The sequence below is a fragment of the Homo sapiens genome, chromosome 7 (assembly GCF_000001405.40).
Source record: "Homo sapiens chromosome 7, GRCh38.p14 Primary Assembly".
In the NCBI taxonomy this organism is placed as follows: Eukaryota; Metazoa; Chordata; class Mammalia; order Primates; family Hominidae; genus Homo; species Homo sapiens.
The window spans coordinates 18659906-18677404 of record NC_000007.14 but is presented as its reverse complement, the minus strand read 5'-3'; the positions used below and the strand labels follow the sequence as shown (position 1 = coordinate 18677404).

General features: G+C 34.6%; 1 protein-coding gene across 39 annotated transcripts in view; it reads right to left on the bottom strand.

The window, feature by feature from the left end:
- HDAC9 (histone deacetylase 9) overlaps positions 1 to 17499 on the bottom strand; it is a 915592-nt gene that overhangs the window by 325012 nt on the left and 573081 nt on the right. For 33 of the 39 annotated variants that reach the window (NM_001204144.3, NM_001321869.2, NM_001321872.2 and 30 more), the window contains one exon: positions 8562 to 11192. In NM_001204144.3, coding sequence (NP_001191073.1) covers positions 10878 to 11192 — 315 coding nt within the window. In that variant the 3' untranslated portion in view covers positions 8562 to 10877. Of the gene's footprint in view, positions 1 to 8561; positions 11193 to 17499 lie in introns of those variants that run through there. The other 6 variants (NM_001321868.2, NM_178425.4, NM_001321877.2 and 3 more) reach the window with 1 other exon arrangement.

Below are 17499 nucleotides of genomic sequence, written 5' to 3'. Positions count from 1 at the left end.
ACCTACATTTCCATCAATAGACAAATACATAAACAAATTGTGGCATATCTGTACAGTGGCTAACTATTCAGCAATAAACAGGACCATATCACTGGTACATACATGGAAGGATCTCAGAAGCATTTTCTGATTGAAAAAAAATTCAGACTGAAAATATCACAAACTCTTTTTTATATGATTCACCTAAATGAACTTCTAGAAAAATAAAAACTAATATATAGTGTCAGAATAACAGATCAATAGTTGACTGGGGCTGGGAGGAGAGTGAGGATGTGAGTCTGAGTATAAAGAGGGCAGGAGGGAATTCTCTGGAATGACATAAATATTCTCTATCTAGATAGTGGCATATATATTTCTCAAAGTTTATTAAACTCTATGTATATATATCAAGTGGAGTTTGTATGGATATTATAGTTCAAAAAGTAGACTAAAAATCACTAAGATTTAGGAAGTTGTGTGTAAACAAAAGCAAAAATATCATTTTAAAATTTTAATTTAAACAGCATGCCAAAAACCCCAGGACATTAAAAATTAGAATTTTTTTAATCCCTAAGAGAGTCCCTTTTAAGGAAGAAAATATTATCTGCTTCCATATCCAGAAAAAGGTTATAATGAGATACAACTAACCACTGTAAACATATAAAGACATAAAATATATACATTTTAAGATTTGTAGGTGATAAAGAAAATATAAAATAAAGGAACCAAGTTGGATATTTTTATGAGTTTGTCAGACAATTGAAATAATTAAGCAAAAGTCAAATAATTTATAATTTACAGTAGAAAAATAAACATTAAATGTGCTATAATTCAAAAAGTTTAAGTTTTTTAAAAAAGGATTTGATAGCACCATCTTCATGACCAAAATATATCTAAGATGCTAAAAATATAGTGTAAAGTAGACTTATTCTTCACCATGTTAAAAGAAGGTAATAGAGAGAGGACAAATGGCTATGCAAAATTATGCAGTCAAATTACTTAAGATCAAGAAATCATTGCAAGATTTCCCATTCTAAGTTCTTTGAGCATTTACCTAACTAGAGATAGTAGGTGGGGGAGGGGGGAAGTTTCCCAGAACATTTGTTAAAAAGCAGAGACAGAAAAATCTTTGCATTCTTTATTTCATGCTGATTCCAAAGAAAGAGTCCATATACAACCCCGCACTGCTAAATTTGACTGGCTATAAAAATAAAAATAAGAAAGAAAGGCAGAGTCCAGTGCAAATATGACAAGAGAACCCCCTATAGGCTACTAGACAATGCCAATTTTCTGAGTTTTGCTTTCTGATTGATGGTTTTGGTGCTGATAATAGGGTGAGAATTAAAGTTAGAGGAGACCTGGGCACAGACATAGCTTATCCAAAGATCCTCCGTGATCAACACATATTCTTAATACATCCTTCGGAACAATGATCATGTTAATCATTCACACCTAGAGTTGTTTTAAAATTAGTGAATCATTAGTTGAAATCTGGTGAAAAAAAATCCAGGATTCTTTTTATGGGAGGTGAGAGGAGACAGAAGAAAAGGCAGTGGAGAGGAAGAAGAGGAGTAATGTACTCACAGGGTCTCCCAAAGAACATTCCAGCCTGAGAACTTCCCTGTAAGTCATGAAAGGGCTGCAGCTGAATCAACCCTAGACGGTTCTCAACTCTTGGGGCAGGGAGGAGAGGCTGAGCAGCCTCCTGCAGTGACCTGGGCCGTATACATATTGCCATTTTCTATGTGTGCTAGGACATGAAAAAGGTGGGAAGTACTGTACTATAATTTTTTTTGATTACAGAAGAGAAAATTATTCATTATTAAAGATTGATATTGAGTGTAAGGTCAGCTCCTACCAAGGAGAACAAAGTTACTAAAGTTCCAAGATATATTAATGCTACTTTTCATAACAATAGCTAATTTTTACTGTGTACCCATTATGCTAGTACTCATTACACTATTTAAACATGTTAACACATTTAAAGCTGACAATTCCTTAACAGAAAAATTTAGAATTCCTGACCACATTTAACAAACCAGTAAACAGAGGCTTGGCAGAATTCGGTAATTTACTTCACATGGAGTTGCTAGTAGGTGGGGAAGTTGGAGTTGCAACTCCTGCAGCCTAACTATAAAATCAATATTACCGTACGAGGCAGTTCCATGCATAGATCTCAAAGACGATGCAAAATGCCACTGTTTTTGATGCATACATAGGGTTTGATGCATACCTAGTCAAAACAACACATCAATTTCCACATTTAGTAAGTTTTCTTTAAATATGCACAAGGAGGAGGCTGATTCACTCTCTAAGAAAGATTAATATGAATCATTTTGTCTTCTTTCCAAGCTCTCACTTTAAAAAATTATCTATAGAATACGTGGAAATAGAAAAATTAATACTATAAAGAGGTCATTCAAATTAATCTAGATATTATATTTTTATCTAAAAATGTATGCTAGATATTAGAAGTCATAGTCAATAATTCATATACAAATATAAATTATAAAAATTAATATGGTGTGAGTACTGTTAAATAATAAATTCATCAAGAAAAATATTTCCATCATTTACCATGGGCTGAAAATGAAAAATAGTAGCTATTTTTACTAAAGCCAGTTTAAAAAATATATTACTAGGGAGGACACTGAGGACAAGAAATAGCCCATCAAGTAAAATATGACTCCACATTTCACATCGAAAATAAAAGTGAGAATAAAATCATAGTATGGAAGAAAATGCCTTTAACCATTTACATCTGAATAAGAACAATGTAAAACAAAAACCATTAAAATAAAGTTCAGCTGAACATTTCATAGGTTCCCTGAGTGGCTCTAGGAACAATGATGAACACAATAGAGTACATTTTCCCTGACCTCAAAAACCAAAAAGACATAATGCCACACAGATAATGATAAATAAGAATTACATGGGAAACTATGGAACTGATTTCAAGTTGGGGAGTTCAGAAGGGCTAGAGAAATCACAGATGGCATATGGCAGAAGTGAGTGCCTGGTTAGAGTATAAAGGTTGAATTATGAAGACTGTAGCTCTCTGATATCATTTAAGTGAAATATTAGAAAGCAATTACTGTAGGTTGACCACAGAAAATGGGAAAATGGTATTGTCATTTTACAGTAAGTTAATTGAAGTAGTATAAATATCACACTGATGTAAAAGGGGGCTATTGCAATGAGAGCACCATGGATTTGTTTTACTGTTCACTAGTAGCTGGAGAAAGCAAAGCTGAAGGTGAAGTAAAGAAATATGATGATGTGAAATCAGAAACAGGAGGACCAACTGCCTATAGGAGATAAAGGAATGAAGATAATCAAAGATGACTACAAGATCATCTATCCCACTGTCTAAATGGTGGTCTCATCAACAACAACAACAGCAAAAAGGAAAAGCAGGAAAAACCAGCACACATTATGCATGAATTTACTAACTTTGAGATGAGAATGGAGCGGTAAGTGAATTCTCCTTACAACTAATATTGGTAATAAAACATTTGGCAGACTTTCGGTTGTCTTTAAGGTAAAGGAGAAGGATCTTTAAACCCTTAAACCATTCAGATGCCTCATATCTCTGCTAACACTAACATTTTATGCCTCTATGTTAATTAAGAGCAACAGAAAGATACTGGCAAGAGCAAAAATTCATCTGTTCAAGTTTTATAGCCCATCTATTTTCAAATTGATGTGATGAGATCTATCAATTAACAAAATACAAAATGAGATGAAGACGATCTAAAGCAGAAACATAAATACAAATAAAAATATGTGAGTCACAAATGCAAACCATGTATATTCTTTTCGAATAGCCACATTTAAAAAGTAAAACAGGTAAGATTAATTTTAATGATGTTATATGACTTAATATATATTTAAAATATTATTTCAACATGTAATCAATAGACATGGAATATTAATAAACTTTTTGTACTATATCTTTGAAATCTGCTGTGCATTTTCTACTTAGGCTGTACCTCAATTCTTGCCAACCACATTTAAACGTTCAATAGGTACATGTGGCTACTAGTTTGGACAGAGCAAATTTAGGGTTCTTTCTCCAGAAATTCTGTCAACAGAGGCATGAAGATCAAAGCTAAGACATGAACATTAGTTCGACATAATTTTTTTAAAGACATGCTGTTGTTTTGTCACTCAGGCTACAGCACCGTGGCATGATCATAGCTCAATGTAGCCTCAAACTCGTGGGCTCAACAATCCTCCTGCCCTAACCTCCCAGGTATCTAGGTCTACAGACATCCTTCCACACCTGGCTTCAACATAAAATTCAACTGTAATTAGTAAAACTGAGTGACGAGGGTAGGATTTTAAAAGTAATATTCATGAAGAAAAATAATTGATTTAATTTTTAAAGAGCACCAGAAAAAAAGGAATAATAAACATCAAGATTGTAACATTTCAGTGATATTTTGGGAAGAAAAAAGTAACAGTATCAAAAGTTAGAAAGCAACAAGGGTCAGCCACAGAAATATCAGAAAAGCAAGACCAAAATCAACTAGTAATTGCAACTAGTAATTGCAAAAACCGCAATTACTTTTGCATCAACTCATATAATAAGGAAAATGAAGATAAAGTATGAGAAAATGAAGTCCAATAATCATGAAGTTCATATCTCTTTGAAAATAATTTAAATGCATAGAAGAATATTTAAAAACAATGTGTATGACACAAAATGGATCAAAGACCTAATGTTAAGTGCTAAATTTATATTAATGAAACTCTAAGAAGGCAACGTAAGTGTAAATCTTTATAACCCTGGACTAGGTTACAGTTTTTAAAATATGATACCAAGAGCACAAGCAGCAAAAGGAAAAATAGATAAACTGGACTTCAGCAAAATTCAAAACTTTTGTGCATCAAAGAACACTTAAGAAAATGAAAAGAAAACTGACAGAATAGGAGAAAATATTTGCAACTTATATACCCGATAAAGGTCTACTACACAAAATATATCTAAAAGCACTTACAACTCAACAACAAAAAGACAAGCAAGCCAACTAGAAAATGGGCAAAGGACTTGACTAGATGTTGCTCCTAATGAAGTTATAGAAATGGCCAATAAGCAAATAAAAAGATGCTCAACATCATTAGTCATTAATGAAATATAAATCAAAGCAACAATGATAGCACTGCATACTCACTAGGATGGCTACCATCAATAAGGCAGGGGAAATAACAAATGGAGAAGATGTGGAGGAACTGGAACCCTCATACATTGCTAGCAGGAAAGTAAAATAGTTCAGCTACATGGAAAACAGGTTGACAGTTCCTCGAAAAGTTAAACAGTTACCATATTACCCAGAAATTTCACTCCTAGATATATACCCAGGAGAAATGAAAATATATCTTCTCACAAAAGCCTTGTACACGAATGATCACAGCAGCATTATTCATAATAGACAAAAAAGTGAAAACTGTGTGTTCAACTGATGAATGAATAAGCAAAATGTTGTATAGCCATACAAGGGAATATTACTCAGCCATAAGAAGGAATGAAGTACTGATGCTGTGGATGAACCCTGAAAATCTTCTGCATAAGGAAAGAAGCCAGGCACAAAAGGCCACATAATGCATGACTTCATTTATATGAAATATCCACAATAGGCAAATCCACAGAGATATAAAGCAGATGAGTGGTTGTCAGGGGCAAGAACGAGCGTGGAGTGGGAGTGACTGCTTAGTTGGTACAAGATTTTTTTTTGAGTTGGGGTTAATGGAAGTGTTTTGGAATTAGATACTAGTGATGGCTGCACAGCACCATGAATATTCTAAAACGTATTGGAGTAATTCCAGTAAATATAGTGAGAATTGCCTATACTTGAGTTAAAATGCAGAAGAAGCCGAGAACAATATACAAAAATAGGAGACAAGATATTTTGAAAACTATGAATCAGAGAATCTGAGGAACTTAGGTAAAAGCTATTAAAAATCAGGCCAGATTTCAGGAAGTGGTTAGGGCACCTGGCCATCTCCAAAACATTATTTCTGAATCGGACTCTTCAAAAGGCTTGAAAAAGGTAGATGACTGAGCAACCAGTCAGAACAACAGACTCAGAACCTCTAGGGGTGTGGTCAGAACCTGTTTCCCTCGAGAGGATTGTTATGCATCTTTCTATTAGAATACCACTTAGGAGGTCTAGAACGTGACAACTGTCTCTATTTTTCCCTTCCACAACGTTTTATACAGACTACTTAAGTCAAAATTATTATCAAGCGTGTCCTTGATAGGTTTAAAAAGTCTGTAAAAGGCAGCGTCCTGATGGCTTAGAAACTGGACTTTCTTTGCGTTAGTTTGGGAATGAAGCTAAGAAGTAAAGGAGAGCTCTGAACCTGCTGAAATCCTTTCTCCTTCCCCTAAAAGTTAACCAAGTGTGGCCACTCTGTTTCAGTCCCTCCTAGGACCGGCTATGGTCAGAAAAAAGAAGGCTACAGATTTTCACGATTAAAAATGGTTGAATAAAATGTGTGCAGGATTAGAACCTTCATCTAACCCTAACCCTCATTAGAATTAGAAAAAAAAAAAAGAGTACTAATCACTAATCTCACAATTTATAGAAGCTATTAAAAAAAGATTATTGATCAAGACAGTTTGGTAAATGCTAATGAGGAGAGAGAGAGAAACAACTGAATAAATTGGACAGAAGTAAGCATATCGGGCAGATATAAAGAATCGTTGCACCAACACAGCACAATGGTAAAGGTTGAGAACAGGGACTCTGGTGCCAAAGTGCCTAGGTTCAAATTAAAGCTAGACCTCCTAAATCTTTAATTTCTCTTTTGCAGTGCTCTCATCTCTACAGTGGGATGATAATAATACCTCCTTCATCAGGTTATTGTGAGGACCAAATGAGCTAATAGATATGAAGTGCTTGCGCACTGTGTGTTTGTAATAGATAAAAGTAAACATCTTTTTCTAAATCAAAATGATCCCCAAAAGTTGCATTGCCTAAACACAGTTTATAGCCTCAAAGATGTTATTATAAAATTAGATGTAACAACAAGAATATAAACGTTTTTAAGCCTACATAGATATGTTGTTGGCATGACTGAAAAGTCACATTCCAAATTTCCTTTGTGTTTGCTCAAATTCTTTGATTGCCTTCAATATTTTCTTCTTAAAACAGAGATGAAGCAATGATCAATAATAAAGGGAATAATAGTCTCAAACTCCTTCTTTTGTATCTCCAAGTTCCTGATATAATCAGTTACAATTGGAGACCTCAAACTATTTATCATTGTAAACCTTCAATCACACACCTACAATTTATACATATTACAGCGATTCAAAATTGTACACTTCAATTATTGAAAAAAACACAATGAAACACCAAATTAAAAACAATACTCTATATATATCTATCTGTTAAGTACTAGGTTTCAACAAAAGGTTTAGTGTCTGAATTCCTTTTCAACATCCTTTGAAAAAAAGGAGCATAAAACAATATATAACAATTTCTAGAAGACTATCTTTCTCAGATCTATGAAAAGTAGCAGTCTACACTTCATCAACCACCTTCACCAATGAGAAGGTGAATTTTTACTTCCAGAAGAAAAAAAATCTAATGATTATTTATTTCAAGACTTGGCAATAACTATTTTTTCTAATGAAAAGTTTTCTAATGCTGGATTGATGCTTTGTTTTAAAACTCACCCTATATAACACTTCAGAAATCAGATATACACTATAAAACCATTTTTTAATTGATTTCTCTAACTCATACTTTAGGATCTCTGGTACCAAGTTAGTCCTGTAATTTTATAGTTCAAAGGCAAATTTCAGGAAATTATAATTAGCAATAATGGTATTTCCAGAATTGTGACTGTATTCTCAAATTTATGGCACTATAAAATGATAATCCATTCTGTAACAGTCAATAATTATAGCTCCAGATTTCTTGATACTCTAATGCAATACTGATGTGACTTAGAATACGGCAGAGTTGCCTTTACTTGAATCAGGCTCCTATTCCTCACACTGGTATTATAATAATTGTTACCATATAAGGGGAGATCATTTAATTACTATTTTCTCTTTAAATTTATGTGCTGTCACTTTCTACTTGTATTTCAAGATCTCACTGTAATAGACATAATTATTACGACACTTGGAATATTATTCATTTTAATATTTATTGAGTGCTTGTTATGTTCAAGGGATTGTGTTAAGCTTTTTAAAAATAATTTTTTAAGTTGAGCAAAGTTAGGAACTGACATCTATTTAGATAAAGTTTTATATTTAGAAGTTGACATTTTAATTTAAATACCAAACATGATAACATATCATGAAAAAGTTTACACTGGCAAAAGGAAAATGAAACAAATTTTACATGTGTTAGCTATTTGAAAATTTTGGATGTAAATAGTTGAAAGTCATTATTGCTGAATTTATTGTTTTTAATGGTATTAGATGTAACTGCTCAAAATGTCTTTATTTTCTTGTTTCAACAAAGACTGGCAATGTATTTTGATATATGAGATCTAGTGTGCAAGCTTCAACTTCGATTAAATACGGCAAGTTTACACAAAGCCAAGTGTATGAAAGGGGATCTTTTAAAAAAAACTTTATTTGAGAAAGGAAGAGACTTATAACAGAAGGCAAGAAGGGAAACATACAAACAATATATTTACAACACAAAACAAGAGATCACCTTCAAGGGTGTAAATTATAATAAATACAGTAGATTTTAAAAGAGACATTTATCAATTAATTCTAAGATTATTTAAGTCCAGCTTTCCTTTTCACTGGTTCCAGGTAGTTTCTTGATTAAATTCAAAGACTATCAAATTCAAACAATTAACGTCCACCAACTGTACTGATGAAACTCTCTCAAATGACATTATAAAAAATAGTTTTTTTTGTTTGTGATTACATATCTTTGAAGTAATATTATACAAAAGTCTGCTCAGCCACATGTTCCTCCCCAAATAAAATGTATTTTAAAAGATGCACTATCCCTTTTTTATGAGATTGAAAAAAGACTTTGAAGAAAATGAATATTTATGAGATGGAAAAAATATACAATTTTATCTTAGGCATGCCATATTTTTAATGCAAAACAACTGACAAAAAGTCATTTTAATATGAAGGAATATACTAACCAAAATATGTTGGTGATAGGGAGTGTTCCTATTATAGCTATTTGTCAAATTATCAGAAGGACTTTCATTATGTGGAAAACTTTTAAACTTTCTAACTTCTAGTTATGTTAATTTAATTTGAATGGAGACTTTTTAAAAAAGGATAATGTATCTTTAGCAGTAACATTTTTAAAGAAATATTTTTAAATGTCACAGCAAAATGTAAACAACACGTGCCAATAACATACAGTTGAACAATGTCTACATTTGGCAAAACTGCTATATCTCCTTTGAAATAGGATACTACACCTTGAAATACCTCGGATTTAGAAATATAAATATTTTAATAGAAAAAACCTCACAAAGATTCTAGGTCAATTTGGATTATCCATATTAAAGGGGTCTTAATACAACGAACCTTTAACTAGCTTAACAAAAGTAAACCTATAAAACAAGGTAAACATATCAAAAGGGAATATGAAGGAAATGTTCCAGTGAAAAGCTTCCGTAACAATTTCCCTACTTGTGGTGTTATTTTCTTAGACAATAAATCAATTCATAGAGTGCCCTTTAAAAACAGAAAGAGTAAAGCACTATCCTCAGATTTTTTTTCCTACATTCCTCAGTACATGAATCACTTGGACTTCCTGTTTCCACAAGGCATTTCCTGTTCACCCTCACAGAATCACTTTTCTGTAGGAGAACAGCAGGAACCTGACAAAGAACTGACTTGAATAAACAGTGTCTTCTGTTGCCTTCAAAGTTGTTTGTATTTTATAGCATCAAAGGACATAGTCCTCCTGAAGGTGCATTATATACAAGTAAATTTTTTTGTTAAACCTATCTTTTCTAATTGTTATTTGCCAGAATGTTACGGTATATGCCCATGTCATTATGGAATTATACTTAAGAGATTCTAGTGACAATATAAAATATGATACACCTTCTTTTCAAACTGATTTTGACTTGATATCAGATAATATTCATCCTGTTACTGTGTTTTTTGCAATTGTAGACACAATATTGTATCTGATTGGACCATAATGCTGCACATTACTTCTCACTAACATTTGCATCTGCTTCATTTGCTCTTTTTTGATAGACAGTGTCATCAAATTACACAAAATAAAAGTAAAATGAGCAGTGCTATGTGAGACATAATCTAATATTTAAAGTAGTGCTGCAATTTGCATCTATATATTTAAAACCACCTGTATTCCTAATATGTTCAATTGCAACCTACACAATAACCTAGGACTACTGGCATGGTGACCAGAACATTTCTACTTAACTAAAAAAAGAGAGAGGAAGGAAGGGGCAGACTACCTTTAACAGTGTTCAAGACTATAGTATGATACATTATGTACAGTGATGTGAAAATTAAATTCTAGATGTTGCAAAAAATCAAAAACTAATCGAATGCTTCATTGATCAGACTGGGAGACTATCCAGCAGTCACTGATCTCAACACATAAACTCAAAATAACAGTGAATTTGTTTTCTTTAGAAGTAATTGGTGTAGCAGGCTTTGGGATAAATTTAAAGCCTATTAACTGCTCAGATATTATGTATCATAATTTTAGTATAACAGGTATTTCCTTACCAGTGGATTTTCAATGAAACATTGATATCTATATAGAGATCAGTATATAGAAAGACCTCTATATAGATATATACATATATCTGCATTAGGTAGAATCCTTAAACACTGAACTCAAATCATAGAGAAATATAAACTGATAGGAAATCATATCCATTTACCAAACCTGCAATGCATTTCATGTTCAGATAATGACTTTAATTACAAATCCTGGAGCTAAATCTTTGCCTATTACCTGTTGCATAAAAGCAGCCTGCTCCCCAGATTCCATTTCCTGGATCTGAGCATCTTCATCACTGTCCACTGGTTCCTCCTTGACCTTCACAGCCCCAACTTGTCCCAGTGTGTCATCCACACAAGCACTGCTGTCGCTCCTAGTGCTGTTGCCACTAGAGGGCGCTCTGTCTTCCTGCATCGCCTGGTCCCCCTGAAGCTCTTCCTCTGCTTCCTCAAGGTGACTGCCTGGTTGCTTCAGTTGTTCAATAGATTTCGAAAGCAGCTAGAAGAGAGTGTTCAGGGGTTCAAAATTCAGTAGTTCTTCATGGTAACAGAGAAGCAAATTACACTTTGATTTCTAATAACTCATACACTGTGATTTCTAATCATTGAACATAAATTTCAGAATGAACTTGTAGGCAACAAGTTTCCTCAGTAATACTAAATCTAAAGTAGTCCCATTATTCCATATTGTATGGGTCCAGTAGGCAGTGAATAAGGTCTTTAAGTGTTGGATTGTTTTTTCTTTTTAATGGATCACTCTTTAATGCAGTTAGAACATGGTGTAGAAAAAGGTAAATAAACTATCCATGGAAACCCTGAAACTTTCAAAAGGACATGTTTTGAAAGTTGAACCTGGGAATAATACTTTTCTCAAAAGATAAAGGGGGTGATAAAAAATGTTGTCAATATCATTTTTCAACGAATGTTAAACGCTATGAAAGCCAGAACACAAATGCTAATAGTCTTTGTCTAATTTTCTTGTACCTATACAGAGAAACGACAGTCAAATGAAAAAGCATCTTCTTATATATATTTGTAAGAACTAGAAATATTTATTTTGATATTCTGAACTTTAAAGAGGTGTATGATTTAAAAAAAATTAACAATAAGATGTTTTATGAACAGACTCAAATGGAAATTAAATATTAGAAAAGAATCAGGAAATTATTTTTTAATTTGGAAATCATTATTTAGACATTTTATTTATTTTATAAATTAGATTGAACTTAGTTTTCAGAAGTCAATGAATTAACTGCTTAATGATTTTAAAAGATAACTGACAATATGCCTAACTTAAACAATAGCAAAATATCATAACATGAAAGCTCAATAAATGGGGAAAAAGTCTCAAGATTATTTTGTCTCACACTGGTCATTTGTTTTATTTCACAGTGGCCCTGTGGACCAAATCATCTGCAGACCTTGAACTGTGTTTTCAAGAGTTGCTAAGTTTTCTGCTAAGTCAGTGCCTATGTAAGCAACATGCCAATTATTGTAACTAGCAGCACACTTATAATACTACCACCATAAACATGAATGCAGATTTTTCTTTGTCAAATTCATGCTTACCTCCCACTCACACATAATTACAAAATACATGTTTTAAAATGTGAATACTTAAGTACTCAGACTTAGATGGACACCTCAGCCTCTTTAGGCTTATAGACTTTCCTGCAGTCCACGCAACCTCAAATGGCCCTGAACACACTAACAAAGTCCTTTGATTTCACTGTAGGTAGATTTATTAGGAATTTTCATTCATTTGTTCAACAAATATTTACTGAGTGCCAACTATGTTCAAGACACCATGCTAAGCATTAGAAAAATAGCCACTGCTCTGCCCTCATGGAGCTTTTAGTGAATGTCTTAGAAAGCTTCAAATACTTATTCCTATTTTCAAGTATGACAAAATGCTTTGAAGAAAGAAACACAAGGTGTTATAAGAGCACATACTGCTTGGCATAGCAGTGGAAATGGGGATTGTTAAGGGAGTTAAGCTGAGGAAGTGTTATATTTAGGTTTAGACACAAAGAATGAAGGATGGAAAGGAGTAAGTTACATGTGTGAGGGGTGGGAAGCAGGGGCGGAAATAAGGGTGGGGAGCATTTCTGGTAGAAGGCAGAGTCTGTGGGGACTTTGGATTGGAAAAGGAGACCAGCGCATCTAAGTCACCAAAAGGCTAGTGGAGTTTGAGAACCAGAGGAACATGCCGAAAGATAATGTTAAAGTAGATGATACAATTTATAATATATTTGGGTGAAGAGTAAGAATCTAGAGAAATAAAATATAACTTAGGAAAAACACATATAAGACCTAAATATCACCAAAGTAAGTCAGACAAGATCAAGCTAAGAAAACATATACCAATCAAAACTCATATCACAATGAAGAAATTTGAATATGAATTTCCTTTGTGCCTACCATCTAACATCCATTGTTACTGGGCAGTCGGGAGAAGGAGGACATTCATTTACTCATGGTTTAGATGACTTTAAGTATATTTTAGGAAACTATTTGCAGGACTTTTGTCCCAATTCTGAATACTAATCAGCTCTTCTTTTCTTTAATACATAGTACTTTGGACACTACTGAGATTCTGGAGAAAAGAGACCATATTATAGTCCTAAATTTTGACTACAAAGTTGTAGGAACCCATTTAATTGGCTGTTTAAGAAAGAATATGCAACAGCATAGAAACGAGCAAGATATTAAAGAAAAATTCCTAGTTTTGGCTGGGATGCCAGGAATAAGGACACTGGGTAACAAACATCCGCTCATTATTCAGAGAGAGAGAGGGACAGAGACTATCAGTCAGTGCTGCAACCCTTACTCATACCTCAGACTACAAATAAGAGCAGGTGAGGGGAGCTTGTGGGAAGAAGGGATTTATCTGAGAAAAGATACAAGCCAGGTGAAGGAGGCTGCAGGAGCCCATCAGAGAAACCAAATGTAAGAAGACTGGACAAATGCTCACTGAGCTGTAGAAACTCTCCCTCTCACTAACACAGCACAGCTGAAAAGTTACTGGGAACCTGCTCAGTAGAGCTAGTGGACCAATGACACTAAGGATTCAAGTAGATACCCGGAGAGGTGTTCAAAGGATCCTGCCAATAAGGGCCTCTTGAGGATAGCAGAAGAACTATACGGGATGTGTGGTCATGGAATAGGAACTGAGTACCGGATGAAAGATTAGCCAGAGAGCCAGTGTCCAGGAAATGCTATGTCGGAAGTCCCTGCTTACTGGGGGGTGAGGGGGAGGGAGGGCGCGACTTGGAACCTAGCTAGCTTCTGGATGTCTGACACTACAGGAAATATTCAATAACTAAGAGGAAGCCACAAATATCACCCACCAAGTAAAAAGACTCTTCTGTTGCGATTCTTCTCCTTCCTAATCCCTGGCCACAACATGGCCTCTCAGTGTCTCAACCTCCTAACCTCCAATGGTTTTGTCCTCCACTTGACCTCATTCCCCAACATTATGACCTTACCTGAGACCTATCTTTATCAGTAACCCTGCATTACTCTAAATCTCAATTTCAAACATCATTCCTTTCTTCTGGCTCTTTCTCAGAATAGTCTGACTCCAACCATTCCTCATTCTAGTGGGTTTTCCAAGCCACATTCTCACTACATATTGTCCCCTTCATTTGCTCACTTCCCTCCTTTCTGGACTAGGCTCCATACTTCATTGAAAACCACTCCTTTATATTACCATCAGTGCTCCTGCTCCTTTCAATATGGGTTTTACTGGACAAATAAGACTTCTAACCTTGGTCAATACTAAATCTCTGCCAAACCCAAGCAGCTGAATGAGCTAGGAAACAAACAAACAAATTACGATCATGCTGAGTGTTCTCCAAATTCATGACTACACCCTCCAATGGGGTCTCAGTGCTGCCTAGCAACCCTATTCCACTTTTCTAGTTAATTTACTTTCACCGTCTCGTACTACCTCCTCTCCCTTCAAATCTCTAACATTCTCCCCTTTTCCTCACTCCCTGCTGATACCTTTGCTTCTCATTTCATTGAGAAAATGGAAGCATCAGAAGAGAAACTCAGCCTCCTGCTACCAGCACATTTATGAAGCTATCCCATCCACCCCTCCTGCTGTTGCAATGAGTGAAATGTCTGCACTCCTATCTCAGTCAACCCCTTGGCTTACACTCTGGATCCCTTCCACTCCTGCAATTATCCACTGTGTCCTCCATCACACAGATCCCCTCTCTGCTGGAATGCTCTCACTAGTACTCTTTCAGCAATATCATCCATCTTAACTAAAACTTTCCTTGACCTCCTCCCCCACCACACCATTACATACCTCCCTTCACAATAAAATTTCTTGAGTTATCGCTCTTCACTGTCTTCATTTCTCTTTTCCCCTTCTCTTTAGGCTTTCCTCTACACCATTTAACCAAAATCTCTTGTTAAGGTCAATAATGACTGCAATAATGCCAAATCCAGTGGCCATTTAAATATGATATTAATAGGTGGCAGCAAAGGTGAAACATTTTAGAAAGGGAAATAACACAAAAATCATAGCATTTTTGAAAATAAGAGACTGGTATTACCACTGCAGCCAAAGACCAGACAAACTGAGTGTTAATTTACTAGAATATAATTTCCCATCGTTAGCAAGTTAAGGAAAATCTCTAATATTAACAAACCCCTGAGTTTCCATGGAACGTATTATATGTACATTTTAACAGAAGACCTTCTGAAATCTGACCTGTGAAGTCACTGAAGTACCCAGAAATCACATTGTTCAGTCCATTAATCAAATCTGGTCAGTATTTACAACCTCACTGACACAGATATGCATATGACAGTATATATAACAATTTTTGATATGCAATACAGAAATAATTCTATTTGTTCCGGTCAGTTTCTTTGGCTTCATCTACACTTCTGATCTATCAAAGGAAACATGGGGAAGAAAAAAGCCAGAATAAATAACGTTGTGATCTTTTTCCAAGAGCAGAATTCCTTCATGGTTTGTAAAAGAAATGTTTCTTGATATAAAACAGTAACTTCTGAGTAGAAAACATATAGATATAAAATGCTGGACTTGAAAATCTTTTAATAACATTCTTAAAAACCTTATTTTTTAAATAAGGAATCTCATGCCCAAAAAAGACAAGTCATCTCTAAGATTGTAAGATATGAATTTGATTTAAAAAAAAAGAGTAGAAACCTAGAACTTTTTATACCATTCTACTCCACATTTTGCTCTGAAATAGCTATATATTCTCATGACAACTGGATTAATAGGAGCAATTCCAATCTCTCCCCTGAGCTCCAAACTTGCATAGTTAGCTGCGTACTTAACTTGTTTTCTTAGATCTAGAATATCTAATAGGCATCATAAACATTAAACACCTCAAAAATAACCTTTATTCCCATCTAACCCAATTGTATTGATCACCCAATCTTTCTCATTTGAGTAAACAGCTTTACCCAACTGCATGAGCCAAATATTTGGGATTTATCCTTGTTTCTCTATCACTCATCTTTTTCATTTAATTTGTGAGCAAGCCCTGGCAATTCAACCTCCAAAAATAAAGGCTTTATCTTAACATGTTTCTCCATTTCTGCTGCTACTACTGTGCTCCTAAATACTATCATTTTCACCCTAAACTACCCAAAGGCCCTACTCTGGGCTCCTTGATTGCCCTCTTGGCCCTCAACAGTACAATCTCTTACAGTAGCTCTAATAATGATTTTTAAAATATAATTTAGGTAACATTAATTCTCTGCTTAGAATCCCCCACTGACTTCCTATTATGCTTATAATAAAATTCAAACCTCCTACCATGGTCCATAGACTTTCGACAACCTGGCACCACCAACTTCTCCGACCTTAGTTGGGATCTTGTTCTCTCTTTCTCACATGCTCCAGCTACCCTGGCCTCTGGTTGCCCCGTGAATAAAAACATGCAGAGTTTGTTCGCCCACAAGGCCTGAGTCTACGCCGTGCTCTCTCTACTCCCTCAAATCTTTACATGCCTGACTGGCTCCTTCTTATCATATTTTACCTCTGTTATTATCTCATTAATATATTTTCTTTAGAGTCCTTATTGTTGTCTGGCATCATATCGCTATCTTTGTTTACAATATAGTTATCTCCCAGACTATAATATAAATCTCATAGGGCATAAGCTATATGTTTTTCATCATTTTATATCCTAGTACCTGATACATTGCATAACACCTAATTGGAGCTTCATAAGTTTCTGAAAAAATTATTAATGCTTAGTAACAATGCTTTGACACTTTTTCTCCTACGTTACAAAACAAAGTCAATGTCTAAAAGAGCAATAACTACCCGTTTTTCATCTTCTCTGGAATAAAATATGCTCTTTGTAAAGATTCACAAAATACAAAAAAGACAAATGGGACATCCGGTGCCAGTGTTGCAAAATATAAATGCAGAAAGGGAGTTAATCTACACTTCTTATTTTAGGTATCTGACTAAGGCTGTTTTTGTTTAAACAGTCAAATTTGTCACAGTGGAAAAATTTTCAATTAACTTCAGCAAGGAAAACTTACAAACAAAAGTCACAGAGAAATTCTTGCCTGCCAGATTTGAATTATTTCCTATAAAAGTTACTTTGTGCTATTTGTAAATTTCCGACTATTTACTAGGAAAATGAGTATTTGGAATTTGTTTTCTATGTGTTTCTCAACTACAAATATGACCACTGCAAAGCTGGTATGGGCTAACCCTTTTCTAATTTGTACTGTCACTGAGTGGCCCCAGATGTAGTGAGGAGATGTCTGCTTACTCTCAGTGGGGTGGCAGGGTCTCT